The sequence below is a fragment of the Homo sapiens genome, chromosome 10 (assembly GCF_000001405.40).
Source record: "Homo sapiens chromosome 10, GRCh38.p14 Primary Assembly".
In the NCBI taxonomy this organism is placed as follows: domain Eukaryota; kingdom Metazoa; phylum Chordata; class Mammalia; order Primates; family Hominidae; genus Homo; species Homo sapiens.
In genome coordinates, this window is record NC_000010.11 from 102,829,937 (window position 1) to 102,852,085 (window position 22,149).

The following is a 22,149-nucleotide window of genomic DNA, read 5'->3' on the forward strand; positions in this document are numbered from 1 at the left end:
CAGGAGAATCACTTGAACTCAGGAGGCAGGGGTTGCAGTGAGCCAAGATCATGCCATTGCACTCCAGCCAGGGCAACAAGAGCGAAACTCCTTCTCAAACAAAAACAAAAACAAAAAAACAGATTGTTCCACTTACATACTTAAAATCCTCCAGTGACTTCCTGTCATAATTAGAATAAAACCCAACCTCCCTCCTGGCCTCCTGTAATCCCAGCTACAGTGGGAACGGACCACTATGTCCACTCTGACCTCATCAGGGCCCACTCTCCCCTTCACTGGCCATGCTGACCTCTCCCACCTGGAGGCCTTTTTACCTGCTTCTCAGCATGCAACACTTTTCCTGACCCCTTGTTCAAAGCAGCCACCCACTGCCTCTGCCATTTTCTCATCACATCACACAAATTGTGATTGACTTCAAAGCACTTACGAGTCTCTGAACTTATTCACTTGTTAGCCCTCACTAGAATGTAAGCTTCAGAGACCACGGAGCTCGAGTGTCCTGAGAAAGTGAATGGCACATAGTAGGTGCTCAATAAAATCGGTGTTGAAAGAATGAGTGAGCAAATGAATACATAAATGAACTACTCAGGGACCTTATGGAAAAAAAAAAACTGTTTATGCACATCACTGGCATTGCCACAAGCTGAAAAAGAAGGCAGAGTGGGTTGGGAGTAGGGAAGAATGGCGGAGAAGGGTGGGGGGTTGTATCTCTAAATCTGTGTTGTGGGGCCACATAGGGTGGACAGGGGCTGTGAGTTACAGCCTTTAGGTGCTACCCTCAGCCTGGGCTTCCCTCCAGGCCTGGCGCACCTTGATCTTCACTTTGAAAGAGTCGATCAGAAAGACCACCTTGGGGATGCCTTCCAGGGAGGGCAGCTGCCCATCATCTGGCACCTCCAGGTCGAACCTCTGCAGCAGCCAGGCCATGATGAGGAAGAGCTCCTGGCGGGCCAGGATCTCACCTATACAGGAGCGAGGTCCTGCTCCGAAGGGCAAATAGCTTACTGACGGTGAGATGAGCTGGGTCCCCGCTGGATTCAAGAAACGCTCTGCAGGCAAGGAGTGGCATCAGCCAGGGGTTAGGGCAGGAGGGAGGAGAGGCATGGTTCTGCCCTGGTTGAGGGGGAGACATGGCCCTGCCCAGGGAACCCTGATCTGAGGATGTAGCCTTATTATGGGGGAACCCCCGCCTGGGGAGAGATACAGCCCTGCTTTCAGGTAGCCCTTAACGACACAGAGGAAATGAAATATTCAGGAAGGATGGAAAAGAGATGGAATTAACCTATGAAAATAGCACCATCCGAGGGGAGAAGGGACAGACTTAATGGCAGACAGAGGCGTAGAGGGCTTCTTGGAGGGTGAATTTGCAGTTGGTTGGAAGAAGAGCGTGGGAAACCCAGCTGTGAAGAGTTTGGGTAAGTCTATGGCAGGATGAGGGTGTCAACAGGTCCGTATAGTTGGAGCCAAGAGTTTTCTAGCAGCAAGCTTGGCAGAGGTGAAGGGGTACTGGGGTGGTGGAGCAGAGTCCAGGCTCGCTGTGTGGCCCAGGGCGCAGGACAGGACAGACTCACCAGGCATGAACTGATCCGGCTGGTGCCACTCCTTCTCATTGTGATGCAGCGCCCACAGATTGATGATAACTTCTGTGCCCTTGTCCACAGCAAACTCACCGATGCTGCTCCAGAGTGGAAGAGGAAAAGTGGGTCTGGGACTTCGTACTCCCTTCCTTGCTCAGCCTCATGCCCCCTCATTCTTCCGCCGTGAGGAAAATGCCCTTTACTCCCTCATTCCCACTCACTCATGTTTTCCTCAGCTTCTGCCAGATCAAACCTAAATCCAGCCCTTCTCCATCCCTTCCCTCCTAACAGGCGCTTCTGTCTGAACACCTGTGTCTGTGGACTTTGGTGTCTGGCAGTGTATGTGGGTGTGCGTTTGGAGCTGCAGCGCATGTTATGTGCGTGCTGCAGCTGGTTGGAACATGGAGCTCCCAGCCTTTCATCCCAGACCACATGTCTCTGAGGGCAGCAGGAAGCTCCTCTGGGAAGTCAGGCAGATCTGTGGATGAGTCAATGCGTGTCTGTAGGTGGTAGAGACATGGAGCCACGGGGCTGGGGGCAGGATGATTTTTATATTTAATTAATTAATTATTTATTTTGAGACAGAGTCCCGCTCTGTCACCCAGGCTGGAGTGCAGTGGTGCAATCTTGGCTCACTGCAACCTCCGCCGCCTTGGTTCAAGTGATTCTCCTGCCTCAGCCTCCTGAGTAGCTGGGACTACAGGCACGCGCCACGATGCATGGCTAATTTTTGTATTTTTAGTAGAGACGGGGTTTCACCATATTGGTCAGGCTGGTCTTGAACCCCTGACCTCATGATCCACCCGCCTCGACCTCCCAAAGTGTTGGGATGACAGGTGTGAGCCACCGTGCCCGGCCGGCAGGATGATTTTTAGTAGTTGATGGTTGACTGACTTTAGGTTGGCCAGCAGGGGCCGGGGGTAGGGGGAGCCAGGTGGGCTGGCAAGCAGTGTTGAATGCATCATGGGGCTAGATGTCACTGGGAGGGCAGGCACACCTGGAGTCAACGTTGGCCTTGTGGGGGATGAGCATAGGGGCCACGGGCCTGAGGCGAAGCACCTCTCGGATGGTGGCCTCCAGCAGGAGGAGACGGTTACGGTCACTGATAGTTGGTGTGCGGCTGAAACCCACATTCTGGTCAATCTCCTCGTAGAGCTTCTTCTTCACCTGAAGACCAGAGTAGGTTGGAGGTGACTAGTGTGTGTAAGCCCAGGAGAAGCAAGGGCTTAGAGAAGAATCCAACTGTGACATCGAGAAGAGCCTGTCCAGTCCCTTCCCAGTAGTGGCTCTGGGGCCCAGGCCCGGCTTCCAGAAGATGGGGCAGCTCTACTCTGGGGTCAAAGCCAACTACTGCTTGGGTAAGGAGCAGGGCAGGCCTAGTCTTCCTGCACAGAAAGCCTGAGAGAATTGGCTCTCCCTTTCTCTGGAGCCCAGAGATTGGGCTGGCTGGGGTCTAGGATCAATGAGGGGGAAGCACACCTGAGGATTGTGCAGCAGGAAGGCCAGGGTCCATTTAACCACAGAGGTGGTGGTCTCCACGCCAGCCCCAAAGATGTCCCCTATGGTGGTGAGAATGTGGTTATCTGAAAGCAGCTCTGAGTCTTGATCTGGGCCAGCATTGCCATTATCTGAGTTCATCTTGGCTTGCATCAGTGTGTCCAGCATGTTGGTGATAGAGTCACTCCGGAATTTCTCCTGGGTTGGGTGAGGTTGGGAGACATTAATAAGGAAGGAGCCCCATCTGTGACACTCCTGCCATACTTCTGTCCCTGACTAGAGATAACAAGGCTCCTTCCACTTGGAAGTAGAGCAAGTCTGGGCAGGACCTACGAACTTGTGGAGGTAGGAGGCAGCCCCGGGCCCTCTTTAAATTTGGTGGAGAGGTTAGGTCTCTTCTAGGATCCTCTTCAGTTCCTCACTTTTCGATCCCAACTCCTTGAGTCAGTTTTTTTTTTTTTTTTGAGACAGAATCTTGGTGCAATGCCCAGGCTGGAGTGCAATGGCATGATCTCAGCTCACTGCAACCTCTGCTTCTCGGGTTCAAGTGAGTCTCCTGCCTCAGCCTCCCAAATAGCTGGGATTATAGGCATGCGCCACCGTGCCCGGCTAATTTTGTATTTTTAGTAGAGACAGAGTTTCTCCATGTTGGTCAGGCTGGTCTCGAACTCCCAACCTCAGGTGATCTGCCCACCTTGGCCTCCCAAAATGTTGGGATTACAGGTGTGAGCCATCTTGCCTGGCCTAGTTTTTGTATTTTTAGTACAGACGGGGTTTCACCATATTGGCCAGGCTCATCTCGAACTCCTGACCTCAATTGATCTGCCCACCTCGGCCTCCCAAAGTGTTGGGATTACAGGCGTGAGCCACCGCGCCCAGCCCTTAAGTCAGTTTTTATTGTACACCTACTATGTGCCAGGTTCTCTGCTTGGTTTTGAAGCTTCTACAGTGTGTAGAATGGACTCCACCCTGCTCTTGTGATTACTTTTAGCCTAACTCATATTCTCTTCTGCTCTATCACCTACCTTGTAATTTTCAAGTATTTTATTCAGCAGATCATTTCGTATTTTAACATGGCTCTTTAATTTTTCCAGGGTTTTGTTGGGGAAAATCTGGGAAATAAAAAGAAATGTTAAATCCACCCTTCTTCCATTTTGCTTCTCCAGCTGCCAGAGTCTCTCCTGGAGGCGGATCTTAGCTTTCTGTCTCTGGAAGTTCCTACTCCACCCCTGACCTTCAGCCAGAATGGAAGGCAAGATGGGGACACAGAACGGGTTTATCATGACGACGAAGACAATTCTAAACAAGGGAGGAGGGCGTGGTCTCCACCTCTCCTTCCCCATTCAATCAAACATCAAGCGCTGACTCTGCTATGTGTCCAGCCCTTAGGAGTGAGAGAGACATGAGCCTGAAGGCTCAGACAAGCTCCTTAACCCCGCTAAGCCTGCTTCTCACCTGCACAATGGGGATAATAAAACCTACTTCCAAGGGGAATTCAGCGATGAATGCGTATAGAATGCTTAGTACTGGCACATGGTAATTGGAAAAGAAATGAAGGTCATTATCTGGAGTACTAAGGTGCATAATTAAAAGGCTAAATCTATCTCTGCAGAGAAATGGCAAAGGTTTTAAGTGGCAGAGGAGGTAGAGGTGGCGGAGGTAATCAGGAAAAAGATGGGTCATTGCGGCTGGAGCAGGGAAGTAAAAAGGAAGGAAGATTGGGGACAATGTCAGGGTCTACTAGAACCTGAAGGCAGGGCTGGCAGCATCTCACCTTCAACCAGGGGACTAGGTCCACCAGGCTGTCTTTGCTCAGGTTGTCTATGATGCCTTCATTGTAATTCTGTATGACATTCAACTCAGGGTCCCCATTCTTGTAGGAGGTATTGAAGCAGATCAAGGAGATGACATTGGTTACCGCCACGAAGACAGGAAAGGAGATGTCTATGGACTGTCCGTTGTGGGTGGCCAGCATATCACACAATGTACTGATTTCCTGACAAACTGAAGGGAGAGGGGGCATGAGGGTGGGAAATGAATCAGCACCCTTACCCCCTCTCTGTACCAGTTGCCTCTTAACAGGAGCGGGGGACAGATAGCAGATGGCCACTAGATGGCAGCAGTAGCCAAGAAAAGGCTGCATTGCGCTCTAGTCCTAACCCTTACCCCTGCCCAACCCTCCTCTCCCTCCAGCAGCTCCTGTGGGATCCAGCCCCAGCCCCAGGGGCCAGCCTGGCACTCACTGATCTTCTCCAGCTTCTGATCGCCATCCTTGAACAGGGCAAAGGTGGCCATCGCCAGCCTTCGATGCAGCTGCCAGTGTGCGCCAGAGTCAGCGAAGGCGATACCCTTACGGTTGTTGGACGCGATGTCTAGAGTTGCCTTTAGAGAGCAGGCAAGGCTGTAGGAATCTCACACCATCCACCCCACTCTTGCCCTTACACCTCTGGTCCCTGCTTTCCTTCCTGGAGGAGAAGGCAGGTACCTGGCATGCTGACTCCCATGTGGGCACAGCCCCACTGCACTCCACCATGACTGCAAGGACTTGGTAGGACAGACCCTAAGGCCTCCTACTCCCAATTCCTTCAGAAATACAGTAGATCAAGGAGAAAGAAAGAACCCTTAATTAGAATGCAGCAGCATTGGGGTTCTTTTCGCTGACAGGGTGCCCTCTGGGCTTCTTTTTGCTCATCAGTTTCTGACCACAGGAAGGCAACTCTGGATGGGATAAACTCTCTAAACTATGCCTGTCCAGAGGGTAGGGAGCAGGTGAGCTTGTAGAGGCTGAGGACTGCACAGATCTCTGCTTTTCCCTGAGCCCTTAGCTGAGCTAAAGGCACAGCTCACCTCACTCAGGTTTACCCTTCCATTGCAAGCCTGCATACCCAGCCACAAGCCCACATTTGGAGAGTGCAGATGTTTTGTCTACCCAGTCTGGACTTGGGCCGAGCCGCCTCCTCCTAGAGGTGCCCCCCAAAGCAAAAGGGTCCAAAGCCTCCCTTTTCCATTTCCTGACCCTGAAGATCCACATGACTAGCCTTCTCCATCTTCTCTGCCCCCGGGAGGAAGCCAGCAGAGGTGGGAGCTAGGTAGTTGGTCAGCAGACCTGGCTGATTGGTCCAAGAAAAAATAAACCAACCCTTGGCTTGATCAAAGCTGAGAGGCTGGCAGGGCACAGTGGCTTACGCCTATAATCCTAGCACTTTGGGAGGCTAAGGTGGGAGGATCACGAGGTCAGGAGATCGAGACCATCCTGGCTAACATGGTGAAACACCATCTCTACTAAAAATACAAAAAATTAGCGGGCATGGTGGCATGCTCCTGTAGTCCCAGGTACTCAGGAGGCTGAGGCAGGAGAATCACTTGAACCCGGGAGGCAGAGGTTGCAGTGAGCTGAGATTGGCCACTGCACTCCAGGCTGGGCGACAGAGAGAGACTCTGTCTCAAAAAAAAAAAAAAAAAAAAAAAATGCTGAGAGGCTGGGGGCCCTGCTGAGTGGGAGGCTCATCAGCAACCCTGAAATGTCATTGTAGAAAACTGCCCCTGTGAGCCTGAGTAGCTGGAAATAGCACCAGGAAAGCAGCAATCCCAGCCTGCAATAGCTAGGCTAATTCTCCCCAGCAGCTTTCATGGAGGACAGTAGTCACTGCCCCCATTTTCCATGAAAAGTAACATGAATCCTGGCTGTATAAGGGGCACTTACTGTGCTGGGTGCTAGGCTAAGTGCTGTACATGCACCTTCTCAGTCCATTAGAGAAGTCTAGGCTCAGAGAGAGGAGTGGAGTGAGGATTCCTTGACCCCTCAGACCACTGTGGTCCTCCCATCCCACCTCCTGGGCAGCCTGGTAGAGGAGACATTCCTTTAATTCTTCCTGCCTAATTTAGAGGCTGGGTGGGGGTCTGAAGGTTCACTCCCTTCACATCATCCCACTAGTCTACTTTGGGAAGAATTACAGGTTGTTGGAGCTGGAAGCCCCATTCTAGGCATGGTCTGAAGACCTGAACAATCCCAGGGGGTGGTGAAGGGGGCAGGGAGGAGATGGGCACCACTTACCATTTGAGGCCGCCCAGAGAAGTCCTTGCCCTTCTTAATAAGCACCTCCTTGGCCAGCTGGTGGTGGCCGACAATCACTGTAGTCTTGGTGCCCATACGAACCGAATAGATGGGGCCATATTTTTTCTGCAGCTTGAAGAAGTTGTTATGCATATGGCCGTGTCTGGGGAGGAATGGCAGGCTGCCCACCAGGGGCAGGGACAGGAGGCTCTTGGGGTACTTGGCACCAGGGCACCTTCTCTTGGGCCAAAACAAATAAGCTAGGGTAAGCAGCAAGAGAGCCACGAGCTCCCACATGGTGGCTGGGTGCCGGCAGGCAAGATAGACAGCAGTGGAGTAGAAGAGCTGTGGCAACTCTAGGGCACAAGGAGGCCTTTTAAAGGGCTACCCTGATCTTCACCTTGACTTTGTGTTATCTCTTGCCTTGTGGAAAGATTCTCCTGGAGCCCAGCCAGGCCTGAGCTCATATCCAGAAGGGAGAGAGGCGGTGGGAGTGAAGGCCTCCTCAAGGGCTGGCTCAACTCCAGGGCAAACCTCCGGAGGAGGAGCTAGGTAAGGGAGGTCAGTTGATCACCCTCTGAGGAGCTCCCCATGCTTGAATGACTCCAGAGTGCGAATGGTATCTGGGCTCAGGAGTCAAGGCTTGGAACTTTCCATGTTGCAAAATCAAAATCACTGGACAGATGACAGATTCAGGAGGGTCACAAGTAGCAGGGACTGTTAAAGGTCTTTTATGCTTCTTTTTTTTTTTTTCAGAGTCTTGCTCCATCACCAGGCTGGTGTGCAGTGGTGTGACTGTCCATGCAGCCCTGGCCCTCCAGCCCATGTGGTTTTGGCAGCGATAAGGGCTGTGGGTTAATGGTCCCCAAAATAAAAATGTACATGTGTATGGGAACGAAAGGGGTGCTAAGCTGTGGGGAGCGGTGGAAGGGAAGGGAGAGATAGGTCAGTACTAGGAATGCCAGAGGTGGGAGGCCGTTTCATAACATTTCTTGTTGATCAAAATGCCATCAACACCTTCTTTGCTCATCAGCAGGACTAGCGTACTGGGGGAACCCACCCCCAATATTTCAACGTAGGTTCTTTCTATAAGTGTCAGCCGGCTGAGAAATAAAGAGAGACAGTATAAAGAGAGGAATTTTACAGCTGGGCCGCCGGGGGTGGCATCACATATCGGTAGGACTGTGATACCCACCTGAGCCTCAAACCAGCAAGTTTTTATTAAGGGTTTCAAAAAGGGGAGGGGGTGTAAGAACAGGGAGTAGGTACAAAGATCACATGCTTCAAAGGGCGAAAAGCAGAACTACTAATAAGTGTCTAACAAAGATCACATGCTTCTGAGGGAAAGGACAAAGGGCAAAAGCAGAACTACCGATAAGGGTCCAACAAAGATCACAAGGCAAAGGGCAAAAGCAGAACCACTGATAAGGGTCCAACAAAGATCACAAGGCAAAGGGCAAAAGCAGAACTACAGATGAGGGTCTATGTTCAGCGGTGCACATACTGTCTTGATAAACACCTTAAACAACAGCAAACAGGGTTCGACAGCAGAGAACCGGTCTGACCACAAATTTACCAGGGCGGAGTTTTTCCCCACCCTAGTAAGCCTGAGGGTACTGCAGGAGACCAGGGCGTATCTCAGTCCTTATCTCAACTGCACAAGATAGACATTCCCAGAGCGGCTGTTTATAGACCTCCCCCCAGGAATGCATTCCTTTCCCAGGGTATTAATAATAATACTCCTTGCTAGGAAAAGAATTTAGTGATATCTTCCCTACTTGCATGTCCATTTATAGCCTCTCTCAAGAAGGAAAATATGGCTCTTTCTGCCCGACCCTGCAGGCAGTCAGACCTTATGGTTGTTTTCCCTTGTTCCCTAAAAATTGCTCTTATTCTGTTCTTTTTCAAGGTGCACTAATTTCATATTGTTCAAACACATGTCTTACAATCAATTTGTACAGTTAACACAATTATCACAGTGGTCCTGAAGTGACAAACATCCTCAGCTTACAAAGATAACAGGATTAAGAGATTAAAGTAAAGACAGGCATAAGAAATTATAAAAGTATTATTTGGGAACTGATAAATGTCCATATTAAAATGAAATCTTCACAATTTATGTTCCTCTGCCATGGCTCCAGCCAGTCCCTCCATTCAGGGTCCCTGACTTCCCGCAACATCTCTCCCTTTCTTTTTATATAAATGTGCCGTGGCGATGAAGGCTTGCTCGTTCTCTCGGTTTTGATGCAGGATTCTTTGACTGGTCTGGCACACTAAAAACAAGCCGATTAAACAGAGAAACATGATTCCAAAATTTCCTACAGTGGAGCCCCCAGTAGACTTAATCCAAGTTGTGGAGTTTAGTCCAGAAAGACTTTCTGCCACCTGATCTAACGCCTCAGCTCCAGGCACAATGGATAAATGAGCTTGAGAGGCTTCAAAAATTTGTTTCTTTAATTTAGTTATGTCCAAGGATAAATTATCTTCCCTACCCAGAAGGTGTCCTTTGACCATTTCCCATGATCAGTCTCGTTGTAGGAATATGGTGTGCTATAGAAATCAGAAGTGTTGCAATCGAACTGCATTTGCATGTGATGTTCGAGACTCATTAGCTGGTCCCCAAGCCAAATAACAGACTGTCTTAAATCATTAGCTAATTTTTGATCAATGCCTTGTTGAGGATTCCACATTTGGGTGGAATTGCCTTACCAATCATTAACAAAATTAGCCATTTGAATAGATTGGTGTAATGCCACTCCGGCAGTGGTGGCCAGTGCAGTGACTGTAATTAGGCCCATGATCACAGTGATTAAAGTGAAAACAAATCTCTTGATCTTTTGAGAATTCGTTGTAACACTTCATTAATTAAATGTACTGAGGGGGAAGATTCCCAAGTTCTGGGTAAAGTTACTGGTATCCAGATTCCTTCTCAAGCTCGAACCAACATTACACTTTTCCTGAGTCAAAACGGGAGTTAACACAAGTGGATAAATGACAATTAATGCATTGGACGGTTTGATTGTTCATCCAAATTTTGATATTTCCCACTAACAGCATGTAAGGAGGCTTAACACAACTCTGTATAATAGTCAGGCTGGAGGTAAACAAAGCAGAATGTTTGAATCTACGTTGATACCGAGGGGGAGGAGTGGCGGTGGCAACGCCCAATGTTTGATGCCGTAAAGAAGCAATCCGAGGTGCCCGGGGATTCTGAAGAGGTAGGGGGACATACCTGGGTCCAGAAGAATTATCATAATGCCAATCAGAGTCCCATAAAGGAGGACTGGCATCAAAAAGAGGAAAATGGTCCAAAGGGGATTTATCATGGGTTTCAGAATCACGGATGTGAGGGGTGGTAGTGGGGACAACAGAAAGAAAAGTTTCCCCTTCCCATACTCGCAGTCTGGACATGGCAATAGCCAATTTCCAAAGTTCTGGGTGTTCTGGGCTCAGAATGGGGGATATCATAAGAGGCCTCGGGTGGCAGGGGGTAATGCTCTTATCTTCCCATTTTAAGGGACAGAATGAGCTGAACCTCCTATGCAAAGTAGGATGATGATCCTCGTCCTCCCAATAAGAAATAAAACAAGTAGCCTCCAGGCATTCCCTTCCAGCAGAAGAGCAACTGCTTTTCAAATAGCCCTTTGGTGCCCAGTCTCTTACTAAACCATATGAGTCATTTTTTAATAGTACTGCATGTGAATTAACACAATCTTCCCAAATTAAAGATTTAGATGGGCCCTCAAAAATTTTAGGACATGGTTTTCCTACAGGTTTATATTGAAAGTAGGGGGTATCTCCTATTACTCCCCCTTTCATTTGTCTTAAAGGAGAAAGGGAGAGGCTGGAGACCAAATGTCCCCGTTCCCCTGTGGCTGATCTCTCCAGAAGGTACGCAGCCCAGACTTGAGTTTCTAGATGGATACAACAAGGTGCATGTCCGAGGCACAGAGGAGGGTATTTATAACCGTAGGAACATTAAATGCAGTGCCTTCTTTTCCTGGTTGAGTGGGGCAACGGTCATCTGTAGCTCCAGGCATCCACACACTATCATTAGTATAGATTTCCGCAGGAGCATCCATCCAGGTGAGAGGTTGAATAAGTGGAGGAAAAGGCACATAAGCCCAGCAAGAATAATTTTGTGTAGCAGGTAAATCAATGTGAGGGGAAACTGGTGAGACAGAAAGTATAAGGAAGAGAATTATTAAATAAAACCTATTGTAAGCAAGATCCAGTGCTGAAGGAGGAATAGAAGAATAAGGGGATGTTATTTTCAGGCTAATAGAAATGGTGAGATTTTTAGGTTCGTAAGGAGAAAAAGAAAGGGAATTAGGAGAAGTGGGATTAGTTAGAGGGGTTTCTGTTGCCATTAGGGAGGATTGAACCAGACCCATTTTGATTTGGCGTGCCAGTTTCTGAGGAGTTGGCACAGATCTCACCAGGTATGAGGGTGGTCTCTGACGTGGACGTCTCTTCCCTGTGGTTTTTATTGTCAGTATTCACATGAAGTTTAAGTCTTCTAGTGGGCACCCAGACAGGGGATTGATGATCTCCTGGTGAAACACAAGCATACCCTCTTCCCCATGTTATAATCGTTCCAGGTTTCCAGGTATTGGTCTGGGAATTAAAGGCAAAGAATTAGGTAGTAAATTTAGAGGAATGGTACTACAGAGATTGACCGCCCCTCCCCTTACTCTGGAGCATAGATAAGCGTTGTACTGAGACAGAAGAAGAGGCTGGGACACATCTGGGTTGGCTGTAGGTAAATTTGTTTGTGCTGGGGGCTGCGTTGGGACCGATTGAAGCAGAAAGGCAACATTCGTCTGAGTCTGAGGTGTCCCATTTGAAATTGGGGCCTAGGACTGGCCCCATTTCCCATTTCCCTGGTTCTGTGGCAAGGGATTTCCATCTATATCAGACTTAGAGTGGCAAGTACTTGCCCAATGTTTACCTTTACAACAACAAGGGCAAACAGTAGCAGGAGCATTTGGCTGTGTTTTTTGAGCCGGCTTGGCTGCCTTTAAGTTTTTAACTGTGCAATTTTTTCGAGTATGACCAAGTTGACCACAATTATAGCAGGCTCCAAGAAAAGAATCAGTCGAGCCAGTTTGATTGCCGTCCTTCATGGCCCGTGCCCACAGAATAGCTTTGTGGGCACAGAATAGCTTTGTGTCTGATCCAATGCCTTCATATTTAATATACTCAGGCAACACCTCACGATCAGGTAAATTTTGTTGTTGGACGGAATGCATGGCCATTTTACACTCATGGTTCGCATTCTCAAAAGCTAACATTCGAAGAAGAATACCTTGAGCGTGCTCATCAGAGACAGATTTTTCAACAGCATCTTGTAATTTAGCTAAAAAATCAGGATATAATTCATTGTGACCCTGTTTAACAGTAGTAAAAGAAACAGGAGCTTGGCCTGGGGCGCGTAATTTATCCCAAGCTCTCATACACACCTTTGTTACTTGTTCCACGGTGAGAGCATCAAAGCCTAATTGGGCAGTAGTGTCAGAGTAATTATTGGAGCCTGTGAGCTGAGCCTGAGTAATTAGAATGCCATCAGCCCGATTTAGCTGAGCCTGCAGATGGGCCTCCCGTGACCACCAGGTACAGAATTGTAAATGTTGAGATGGAGTTAGAACAGCTTTTGCCAAAAGTCCCAGTCTAAAGGAAGCAAAATGACCTCAGTACAAAGAGTCTGTAATACCATTTTAACATATGGAGAAGTAGGACCATACTGAGTACAAGCATCCTTGAATTCTTTTAAAAAGGTAAGATTGAGCAGCGCCTATCGATGCACTTGTACCCCTTGAGCATTGCAAGGTTCCAGCATGAACGGATAAGCCCACGCCTCTAATCCACTTGTTTGTTTTGGCGTAATAAGCATTGCATGGAAATTTCAACAACAGGCACATGAGACAGAGTTGGCACAGAAGTGACAGGAAAATTATGTGTAGATAAGGGAAACTGAGGCTGAGGAGGTTGGACCAGTATGAGAGCGTGAGAAAGGGGCACCAGAGGAGCAGAAGAGGCAGAAGCATACTGGTGATTATTGCCCAATCCTGTGCAACCAGAGTGGCAGGGGTGTCCACATGTGAAGAAGGGTACAGAGAAGCAGGTTGAGTGGATGGCAAAGTGACCAGTTGAGGAACCGAAATGACAGGAGGGTGAGGGGCTGTGGTGGATGGGGGAGGGCCTGCAGAATTACAGGTAAATTGTAGTTTAGTTCCGGAGCCATTAGATGGCTCCGGAGGCAAAGGCTGCAAAGGTTTGAAGAGGGAAGAGTTAGCATAGATACAGTCCTGGGCTGTCCAAGTCGGGGCCGTGGGAGCTACAAGTACTGGCTGTTCGTGAAAAGAAATAAGATCATCAGGGGGTGACGTTAAGCCAAAGTCACTGGAGTTAGATATTGAATCTTCAATATCCTCAGGTGGGGAAGGAGTAGGCGAAGGGAGAGGCTGATCAGGTAACGAAGGCCGTGCGGGAGAGGAAGGTTGAGGAAGAGGTGGAGGGTTTCCAGATTCAGAAAACTGTGGTAACTGCAGGGGGTGATGGGATTGGTATGTCATTAGGACGGCACATACCAAGGCCCAGTCACCCCAAACAGTGACGGGAACATAATTTCCTGTTGGGACCAGTTCCCGGAATTTTGCACCAACACGATCCCATAGTTCCACGTCTAATGTTCCCTTTTCAGGAAACAAAGGACAATGTTCTTCCACTGCCCTGAATAGGGTGACCATATTTTCCATGGGTACCCAAACTCCCCCCTGTTTTAACAGGAGTTTAATATGGCAGAGATAAGCATAATGTTTAGACTCTGAGTGACCCAAAGTTAGCCTGGACAATACACAGACAACTTACCAATCATCAGAGAGCTGAACAAGCATTTCTGTGGACCAGACCAATGAACGTTTCTCCGCACCTACCAAAGGGAATCAGGTTCCCACATGCAATTAGGAGAAAGAAAACCACATTGGTGTGCCAGATATTGGGGGAACCAGCCCCCAATATTTCAACATAGGTTCTTTCTATTTTCCATAAGTGTCGGCTGGCTGAGAAATAAAGAGAGACAGTATAAAGAGAGGAATTTTACAGCTAGGCCACCGGGGGTGGCATCACATATCAGTAGGACTGTGATGCCCGCCTGAGCCTCAAACCAGCAAGTTTTTATTAAGGGTTTCAAAAAGGGGAGGGGGTGTAAGAACAGGGAGTAGGTACAAAGATCACATGCTTCAAAGGGCAAAAAGCAGAACTACTAATATGGGTCTAACAAAGATCACATGCTTCTCAGGGAACAGGACAAAGGGCAAAAGCAGAACCACTGATAAGGGTCCAACAAAGATCACAAGGCAAAGGGCAAAAGCAGAACTACAGATGAGGGTCTATGTTCAGCGGTGCACATATTGTCTTGAGAAACATCTTAAACAACAGAAAACAGGGTTCGAGAGCAGAGAACCAGTCTGACCACAAATTTACCAGGGCAGAGTTTTTCCCCACCCTAGTAAGCCTGAGGGTACTGCAGGAGACCAGGGCATATCTCAGTCCTTATCTCAACTGTACAAGACAGACATTCCCAGAGTGGCCGTTTATAGACCTCCCCGGAGGAATGCATTCCTTTCACAGGGTATTAATATTAATATTCCTTGCTAGGAAAAGAATTTAGCAATATCTTTCCTACTTGCACGTCCATTTATATCCTCTCTGCAAGAAAGAAAATATGGCTCTTTTTGCCCGACCCCACAGGCAGTCAGACCTTATGGTTGTCTTCCCTTGTTCCCTAAAAATCGCTATTATTCTGTTCTTTTTCAAGGTGCACTGATTTCATATTGTTCAAACACACATGTTTTACAATCAATTTGTACAGTTAACACAATTATCACAGTGGTCCTGAGGTGACATACACCCTCAGCTTATGAAGATAACAGGATTAAGAGATTAAAGACAGGCATAAGAAATTATAAAAGTATTATTTGGGAACTGATAAATGTCCATATTAAAATGAAATCTTCACAATTTCTGTTCCTCTGCCATGCCTCCAGCCCATCCCTCCATTTGGGTCCCTGACTTCCTACAACACTAGCATCCTAGCAGTCATGGTGACAGTGACATTGAAGGTGGGGGCTCCATCGGTGCTCTTGGTATAAAGATAGGTCAGTTCCCCATCCTGCAGCAGTAGGTCCCAGATCACAGAACATTTCTGGCCCCCAAGTGTCACCTCATTCACAAAAAAACTTGACCAGTCTTTGCCAACCAGGACATCAACCTCAGCTGGCTTGACGTTGATGAAGGTTTTCCCAGGGATGGTGGCCTGGATGGAAGGCAAGTCCTTGTAGCCCACGATGGCTGCATCCTACAGGTCCCTTCCACCACGAGGTTGTCGATGTGGGTGTTCCACCCTGCCGTGGGCTGCTTGTGGCACTGCTGCCACCTCGCAGACAGGCAGGGGAGGCGGAGAGCTCAGGGCATGCACTGTGGTCGGGACCACTGCTCTGCTATCCGTGCAGAAGCCCTTGTACTGCCACTTCCTGGAAGTGATCATTTTAAGCATTTATATGGCATCAATCTTTTTCACTGTATTGATCCAAATGATTTCAAGCATAAGAGAATGGACAGATCGGTTTTGTTTGTTTACAAAAAGGAAAATGGGGCCAGTCATGGCCAAGGTTAACAAAACAAAGGGCAAAGCTTAACTGGCTTAGTGTGGACTCCAATCATTGGAAAGACTGGGAAGATGGTTCAGATGAAGCCATGTCTGATTTTGATTATTTCTCTGAGATGATGAACCACATGGGTGGTGAAGAGGATGTAGATTTAGCAGATGGAGCAGATGATCATTCACAAGACAGTGATGATGAAAAAATGCCAGATCTGGAGTAAGGAATATTGTCATCATCTGGATTTTGAGAAAGAAAAATAACTTCTCTGCAAGATTTCATAATTGAGAGAATTCCTGGCCGGGCATGGTGGCTCACGCCTGTAATCCCAGCACTTTGGGAGGCTGACGCCAGCAGATCACAAGGTCAGGAGATCGAGACCATCCTGGCTAACACGGTGAAACTCCGTCTCTACTAAAAGTACAAAAAATTAGCCGGGCGTGGTGGCGGGCACCTGTAGTCCCAGCTACTCCGGAGACTGAGGCAGGAGAATGGTGTGAACCTGGGAGGCAGAGCTTGTAGTGAGCCGAGATTGCACCACTGCACTCCAGCCTGGGTGACAGAGCAAGACTCCATCTCAAAAAAAAAAAAAAAAAAAAAAAAATTGAGAGAATTCCTGAGTTGATAGCTCTAAAGACAGATGCTGTATTTGCCTACTTTAATCTATTTTTCAACCTGTTTGTTTTTTAAAAGGCCTCACTAAGGGTTGATATGTACCACTGTATGGGGCAATTTTCAGTCAGCTAAGGCAATAACCTTATGCCTGAACATTTCCCAGACTTCCATGAAGCTGTTGAAGTCCTAGGCAATTGATGCAGCAGTTGTGATAAATACAAACATCTCACCTAAGTCTCCTTTTCTTCATAACATACATACTGACATGATAGAAAGCTCTCAGCTTAGGGAAAGAGAACTAAATTTTAGATTATAGGACATGGATTCAAAAGTGACTGGAACAAATTGGCTGACACCTTACTGGTAACCTGTTATTCCTCTTGTGTTATTCTTCAGGATTGTTCCACTAAAGCTTATTTCAAAAAATTTACCTCTCGGGCTGGGCGCAGTGGCCCACGCCTATAATCCCAGCACTTTGGGAGGCCAATGCAGGTGGATCACATGAGGCCAGGAGTTCAAGACCAGCCTGACTGACACGCCAAAACCCCATCTCTACTAAAAATACACAAATTAGCTGGTCATGGTGGCGTGCATCTGCAATCCCAGCTACTTGGGAGGCTGAGGCAGGAGAATCGCTTGAACCCGGGAGGTACAGGTTGCAGTGAGCTGAGATCATGCCACTGCACTCCAGCCTGGATGACAGAGTGAGACTCTCAAAAAAAAAATTTTTTTTATATTACCAGATGAAATCACAGCCCCAAGGTAGCAGACATTCTTGGTGTCAATCATTATAGAAGAGATGGGCCAAACAGGAGTTGTTAGTTGAGGCTCACAGAGGTGGGAGATGGCATCTGATGGCATCTGTCCCACTCTCTGGGAGTGGTCTGTCTGCAAGTTTAGTAAGGATGGAGTGAAGGCTGCTGGAATTAGGCAGGAAGGCAGCAGGTAGGGGGCCTCATGATGAAGAAGAGCTGGCCAGGCCTCATAAGCCAGACTGCCTGGTTGCCCATTACTCAGAATTTTCAAATGTTGTTCAGATTTTTAAGGCCATTTGCAGCCAGAGGTATGGGCTGGGATGAAACCTATGAGAAACCTTCATGCAAGAAAGGGGATTTGAGGTAGGCCTTGAAGGAGAGCTAGGACTGATGCAGGACAGACAGACAGGCAAACCTCTAAACTGGGGCTTAGCCCAGGAGGGTTCTTGGCTTCACCCAGGAAAGAATTCCAGGGCAAGCTGGTGGTGGTAGCCAGCAAGCAGCAGCGCACAGAGCAGAAGAGGTACTGCTCCTCGTGGAGCAGGGCTACCCAGGGGCAGTGCCCCCAAAGTCACAGCTCAGAGGCAGAGCTGCACTCACATTTACAGTCACTTTTAATTATATGCAAATTAAGGGGTGGTTTATGTAGAAATTTCTAGGATGAGGTAGTAATTTTCAGGCCATCAAGTTATTGCCATGGAAAGGGGTGTTAATATCCGGGTGTTGCCAAGGCAATGGTAAAGTGACATGGCACACTGGTGGGTGGGTCTTATGGAAAGCTGCTTCTGCCCTGGACCTGGTTTTTTGTTTTGTTTTGTTTTGTTTTTTTTTGAGATGGAACCTCACTTTGTTGGCTCACTGCAACCTCCACCTCCCATGTGCAAGCGATTCTCATGCCTCGGCCTCCCAAGCAGGTGGGACTACAGGCACCCACCACCACACTGGCTAATTTTTGTATTTTAGTAGAGATGGGGTTTCACCATGTTGACTAGGGTGATCTTGAACTCCTGAGCTCAGGCAATCTGCCTGCATCAGCCTCCCAAAGTGCTAGGATTACAGGTGTGAGCCACTGTGCCCGGCCTGCCCTAGATCTGTTTAACTGGTCCTCAATTTGGTCAGGTGTCTGAGCCCTGCCTCCAGAGTAAGGTTCACCTTCCTGAGTCCAGTCCTACCTCCTACCTCAGAACTGTTAGGTAGAGATGTGAAGGAGTAGGGAGAGAAGGGTGTTGCTGGAAGGGAGAGTAGCAGAGGCTGGAAGGAGCATGGCAGGAGGGGAATGGTGATGGCCTTAGCTGAAGAGACAAAGAGGTGTGTTGTGGGGGATCCCTGAGAAAGATCTGAGGGGTACATTGTGTCAGGCTCTGGAGCCCTGGAATGGAAGGGTATAAAGGGTATAGGGAGGCTGTAGGAGCTATTGAGAGCACTGCAGCAGGGAGCAGCAAGGTGACAGTGGTGTTTTAGGAGGGTGAAACTGGTGTTGGTGCATGGGGTAGGCTGGATGAGGAGATCGTGTGTAAAGCCTGAGAGCTGGACTGACAAGTGGAGAGGCCTGAATCCTAAGATCCAGGCAGGGGCCTCAGTCGGGTCAACCAGCTGGTAGGGAAATATGAATGGCTACTTTCTACTCCTACAGAGACTGCCAAGCTGACCTGATATTTCACCCCAATCAGAAACAAGAAATGGGAATTTAAAACACACACACACACAAAATGTGTTGCTTCACACTCTCATCACCATATTATAAAAGTTATACATCATAATTGCAGAAATTTGGAAAACACAAATTACTAAAACTAAATATTTTTAAACTGTATTTTTTAACCTAAATGAGGCTGTATTTTTGGCATGAATATTTTTCTATAACTTTCCTATTATTATTTCTCTTTCTTCTCTCACTTTTGACAATGTCCGTCTTATTTTTTTATTTTTAGATGGAGTCTCACTCTGTTACCCAGGTTGGAGTGGAATGGCGCGATCTTGGCTCACTTCAACGTCCGCCTCCCGGGTTCGAGCGATTCTCCTGCCTCACCCTCCTGTGTAGCTGGAACTACAGATGCGTGCCACCATGCCTGGCTAATTTTTGTATTTTTAGTAGAGACGGGGTTTCACCATGTTGGCCAGGCTGGTCTCAAGCTCCTGATCTCAGGCAATCCACCCACCTCTGCCTGGGATTGCAGGTGTGAGCCATTGCGCCCAGCCTCTTTTGACAATGTCTTTCTATGTTGCCCAGGCAGGACTCAAACTCCTGAATGATTGATATTCAGAAGTGAAGGGGCAGATCCTGATTGTTTGGTTTGCAAAAGGGGGTTCACTGAGGTGAGTTGTCATAAATTGATTGAACAGATTTCTTTTTCTGTTTCTTTTCTTTTTTTTTTTTTTGAGACAGGGTCTGGTTCTGTCACTTAGTCTGAGCGCAGTGGTGCAATCACGGCTCACTTCAGCCTCGACTTCCTGGGTTCAGGTGATCCTCCCACCTCAGCCTCCCAAGTAGCTGGGACTACAGGCGCACATCTTCACGCTCAGCTAATGTTTGAATTTTTCATAGGGATGGGGTTTCACCATGATCCCCAGGCTGGTCTTGAATTCCTGAGCTCAAGTGATCCTCCCTACTTGGCCTCCCAAAGTGCTGGGATTACCAGTGTGAGCCACTGCGCCCAGCTGAACAGATTTCAAATGAGTTCTGGTAATATATTAGTTTTCTACTACCACATTACCATGAATATTACCAGAAACTTTGTGGCTTAAAACAACACACATGTATTATCTTACAGTCTTGGTGGGTTAGGAACCTAAGTATAGCTTCTCTGGGCCATCTACTTAGTGTCTCACAGGCTGCAGTAAAGGTGTGGGCCAGGGTTGGGTTCCATCTGGAGGCTCTACTGGGGAAGAATCTGCTTCCTATGTGCCTGGTTGTTAGCAGGATTGAGTTCCTTTTGATTGTTGGACTGAGAGCTTTTTTTTTTTTTTTCCGCTGGCTGTCAGCTGGAGGCCCAGAGGTAGGTGACTAGATGGTACTTGCAGTTCCTTGTCACGTGGAGTTCTCCAACGTGGCCACTCGCTTACTCACAGCCGGCAAGAGAGAGAGGCTCTGGCAAGAGAGAGGCTCCAGCAAGATGAGGGGAATGGTGATGTAACATGTAATCTTATGTAACATCATCATGTGTTTCCTATCACCTGTGCATACACTATCGATTAGAAGCAAATCAAAGATCATGTCCACAAGGAAGAGAAGAGGATCACACAAGAGCAAGAACACCAGGAGGTGGGGTCAAAGGCTACCCTGAGCGGCCAGTCTGTCCACCACAGGTAGCTACGTGTTACCATGGCTATAGAACATTCCATCTTTTCCTAAGTTTGTGGATGTGGAGCAACTGGAGTGGCATACACTGCTATCGGAAATGTAAAGTGTTAAACCACTTTGGAAAATGGTTTGGCAGTTTCTTGAAAACTGAAACACTTACCATATGATCCAGCCATTCCACTACTAGATAGTTACCCAAGAGAAATGAAAACAACCCACATAAAGACTTGTGTACAAATGTTCATAGCAGAATATTCATAATATTCCAAAAGTGGAGGCCAGGTGTGATGGGCTTATGCCTGTAATCCCAGAACTTTGGGAGGGCAAGGCAGGAAAATCACTTGAGCCCAGGCAACATAGGGAGACCCTGTCTTTACAGAAAAAATTGTAAAAATTAGCCAGGCATGGTGGCATGAACCTGTAGTTCCAGCTATTCCGGAGGTTGAGGTGGGAGGATTGCTTGAGCCTGGGAGCTTGAGCTGTGGTTATGCCATACACTCCAGCCTGGATGACAGAGGAGTGACTCTGTCTCAAAAACAACGACAAAAACCAAAACCAAAAAACAACAAAACAAAACAAAAACCCAAAAGTGGAAACAACCCAAGTGTCCATCAACAAGAGAGTGAATAAACACAGTGAGAACTATCCATGCAGTGGAATATTTCTCAGCAATAAAAATGAACAGGCTAGTTATATGCACAACAACATGTCAAATCATCATGCTGCAAGAATGAAGCCAGACAAAAAAAGACCCCCCTCCCCTCAAAAAAGCCTGTATGATGCTATTTATTTGCCATTCTAGAAATGCAAATTAATCTATAGTTCCCAAAAGCAGGGCAGTGGTTGCCCGGGTGAGACAGAGAAGGAGAGATGGACTTTAAAGGGCACTTGGAAACTTCTGAGGGTGATGAAATGTTTTGCATCTTTTTTTTTTTTTTTTTAATTGAGACAAGGGGCCGGGCGTGGTGGCTCATGTCTGTAATCCCAGCACTTTGGGAGGCCAAGGTGGGCCGATCATGAGGTCAGGAGTTCAAGACCAGCCTGGCCAACATGGTGAAACCCCACCTCTACTAAAAATACAAAAATTAGCCGGGCGCGATGGTGCGTACCTGTAGTCCCAGCTACTTGGGAGGCTGAGGCAGGAGAATCGCTTGAACCCGGGAGGCGGAGGTTGCAGTGAGCCAAGATCACACCCGTGTACTCCAGCCTGGGTGACAGGGCAAGACTCCGTCTCAAAATAAAGTAAATAAATAATAAAAATAAATAAATAAAATGAGACAAGTTATCGCTATGTTGCCCAGGCTGCTGATATTGAACTCCTGGCCTCAAGCAATCTTTCTGCCTCGGCCTCCCAAAGTGCTGGGAATACAGGCATGAGCTACTGCTCCCACCCTGTTCTGTATCTTAATAGTGGTGGTGGTTCACAGATGTATACGTCTGTCACACTCATCAAATCGTACACTTTAAAGAATGTGGTTATTGTGCAGGCCGGGCGTGGTGGCTCAACGCCTGTAATCCCAGCACTTTGGGAGGCCAAGGCAGGTGGATCACCTGAGGTCAGGAGTTCAAGACCAGCCTAGCCAACATGGTGAAACCCATCTCTACTAAAAATACAAAAATTAGCCAGGCGTGATAGTGGGCACCTGTAATCCCAGCTACTCGGGAGGCTGAGGCAGGAGAATCGCTT

The 22,149-nt window shown here is 47.9% G+C and overlaps 1 protein-coding gene, 1 long non-coding RNA gene and 2 pseudogenes across 2 annotated transcripts, besides 17 other annotated features; 2 read left to right on the forward strand and 2 right to left on the reverse strand.

Moving 5' to 3' along the window:
* On the reverse strand, positions 595 to 7,477 carry CYP17A1 (cytochrome P450 family 17 subfamily A member 1). Its single transcript, NM_000102.4, has 8 exons — positions 7,129 to 7,477; positions 5,318 to 5,456; positions 4,849 to 5,078; positions 4,100 to 4,186; positions 3,057 to 3,272; positions 2,575 to 2,744; positions 1,572 to 1,675; positions 595 to 1,049 (listed from the first exon to the last, which is right to left on the reverse strand). Exons 1-8 carry the CDS (start codon positions 7,423 to 7,425, stop codon positions 766 to 768), a joined length of 1,527 nt encoding a protein of 508 aa, NP_000093.1. The 5' UTR covers positions 7,426 to 7,477; the 3' UTR covers positions 595 to 765.
* On the forward strand, positions 2,740 to 4,568 carry CYP17A1-AS1 (CYP17A1 antisense RNA 1). The gene is made up of 2 exons (XR_428804.2): positions 2,740 to 2,935; positions 4,241 to 4,568. It is a non-coding gene; the product is annotated as a CYP17A1 antisense RNA 1 (long non-coding RNA).
* Positions 7,437 to 7,716: a promoter, noted in NCBI's record as "SacI/NaeI fragment for -235 to +72 promoter". NCBI's record gives the evidence for it as "EXISTENCE:reporter gene assay evidence [ECO:0000049][PMID:1964490]".
* Positions 7,437 to 8,249: a biological region, named in NCBI's record as "CYP17A1 promoter". NCBI's record gives its function as "regulatory_interactions: CYP17A1".
* Positions 7,519 to 7,537: a protein binding site, noted in NCBI's record as "-57 to -38". NCBI's record gives the evidence for it as "EXISTENCE:protein binding evidence [ECO:0000024][PMID:11897684]".
* Positions 7,519 to 7,537: a protein binding site, noted in NCBI's record as "H17-a Ad4BP site". NCBI's record gives its function as "positive regulation of promoter activity" and the evidence as "EXISTENCE:protein binding evidence [ECO:0000024][PMID:1517227, PMID:11897684]".
* Positions 7,519 to 7,537: a protein binding site, noted in NCBI's record as "-50 Ad4BP site". NCBI's record gives the evidence for it as "EXISTENCE:protein binding evidence [ECO:0000024][PMID:19359379]".
* Positions 7,519 to 7,537: a protein binding site, noted in NCBI's record as "-57 to -38". NCBI's record gives the evidence for it as "EXISTENCE:protein binding evidence [ECO:0000024][PMID:11897684]".
* Positions 7,531 to 7,557: a protein binding site, noted in NCBI's record as "GATA site -75 to -49". NCBI's record gives the evidence for it as "EXISTENCE:protein binding evidence [ECO:0000024][PMID:14988427]".
* Positions 7,553 to 7,590: a protein binding site, noted in NCBI's record as "FP1". NCBI's record gives the evidence for it as "EXISTENCE:protein binding evidence [ECO:0000024][PMID:11463853, PMID:14684846]".
* Positions 7,628 to 7,640: a protein binding site, noted in NCBI's record as "Ad4BP site -150/-142; H17-b". NCBI's record gives the evidence for it as "EXISTENCE:protein binding evidence [ECO:0000024][PMID:1517227, PMID:11145739]".
* Positions 7,628 to 7,640: a protein binding site, noted in NCBI's record as "Ad4BP site -146". NCBI's record gives the evidence for it as "EXISTENCE:protein binding evidence [ECO:0000024][PMID:19359379]".
* Positions 7,629 to 7,658: a protein binding site, noted in NCBI's record as "FP2". NCBI's record gives the evidence for it as "EXISTENCE:protein binding evidence [ECO:0000024][PMID:11463853, PMID:14684846]".
* Positions 7,662 to 7,699: a protein binding site, noted in NCBI's record as "FP3". NCBI's record gives the evidence for it as "EXISTENCE:protein binding evidence [ECO:0000024][PMID:11463853]".
* Positions 7,681 to 7,697: a protein binding site, noted in NCBI's record as "Ad4BP site -211/-204; H17-d". NCBI's record gives the evidence for it as "EXISTENCE:protein binding evidence [ECO:0000024][PMID:1517227, PMID:11145739]".
* Positions 7,750 to 7,778: a protein binding site, noted in NCBI's record as "SF1 -294/-285 site". NCBI's record gives the evidence for it as "EXISTENCE:protein binding evidence [ECO:0000024][PMID:19359379]".
* Positions 7,750 to 7,778: a protein binding site, noted in NCBI's record as "-290 to -276 SF1 site 3". NCBI's record gives the evidence for it as "EXISTENCE:protein binding evidence [ECO:0000024][PMID:11145739]".
* Positions 8,089 to 8,118: a protein binding site, noted in NCBI's record as "S2 site". NCBI's record gives the evidence for it as "EXISTENCE:protein binding evidence [ECO:0000024][PMID:28530704]".
* Positions 8,216 to 8,249: a protein binding site, noted in NCBI's record as "S1 site". NCBI's record gives the evidence for it as "EXISTENCE:protein binding evidence [ECO:0000024][PMID:28530704]".
* PFN1P11 (profilin 1 pseudogene 11) lies at positions 15,213 to 15,631 on the reverse strand (annotated as a pseudogene).
* PTGES3P4 (prostaglandin E synthase 3 pseudogene 4) lies at positions 15,665 to 16,090 on the forward strand (annotated as a pseudogene).

Excerpts from the sequence above, each read along its gene's own strand:
- CYP17A1 (NM_000102.4), bottom strand. The coding sequence starts at position 7,425 with ATGTGGGAGCTCGTGGCTCTCTTGCTGCTTACCCTAGCTTATTTGTTT. Across the intron at positions 5,079-5,317 it reads TCAGAAGCTGGAGAAGATCA|TTTGTCAGGAAATCAGTACA; the intron begins GTGAGTGCCAGG and ends CTCTCCCTTCAG. Across the intron at positions 3,273-4,099 it reads AAATACTTGAAAATTACAAG|GAGAAATTCCGGAGTGACTC; the intron begins GTAGGTGATAGA and ends CACCCAACCCAG.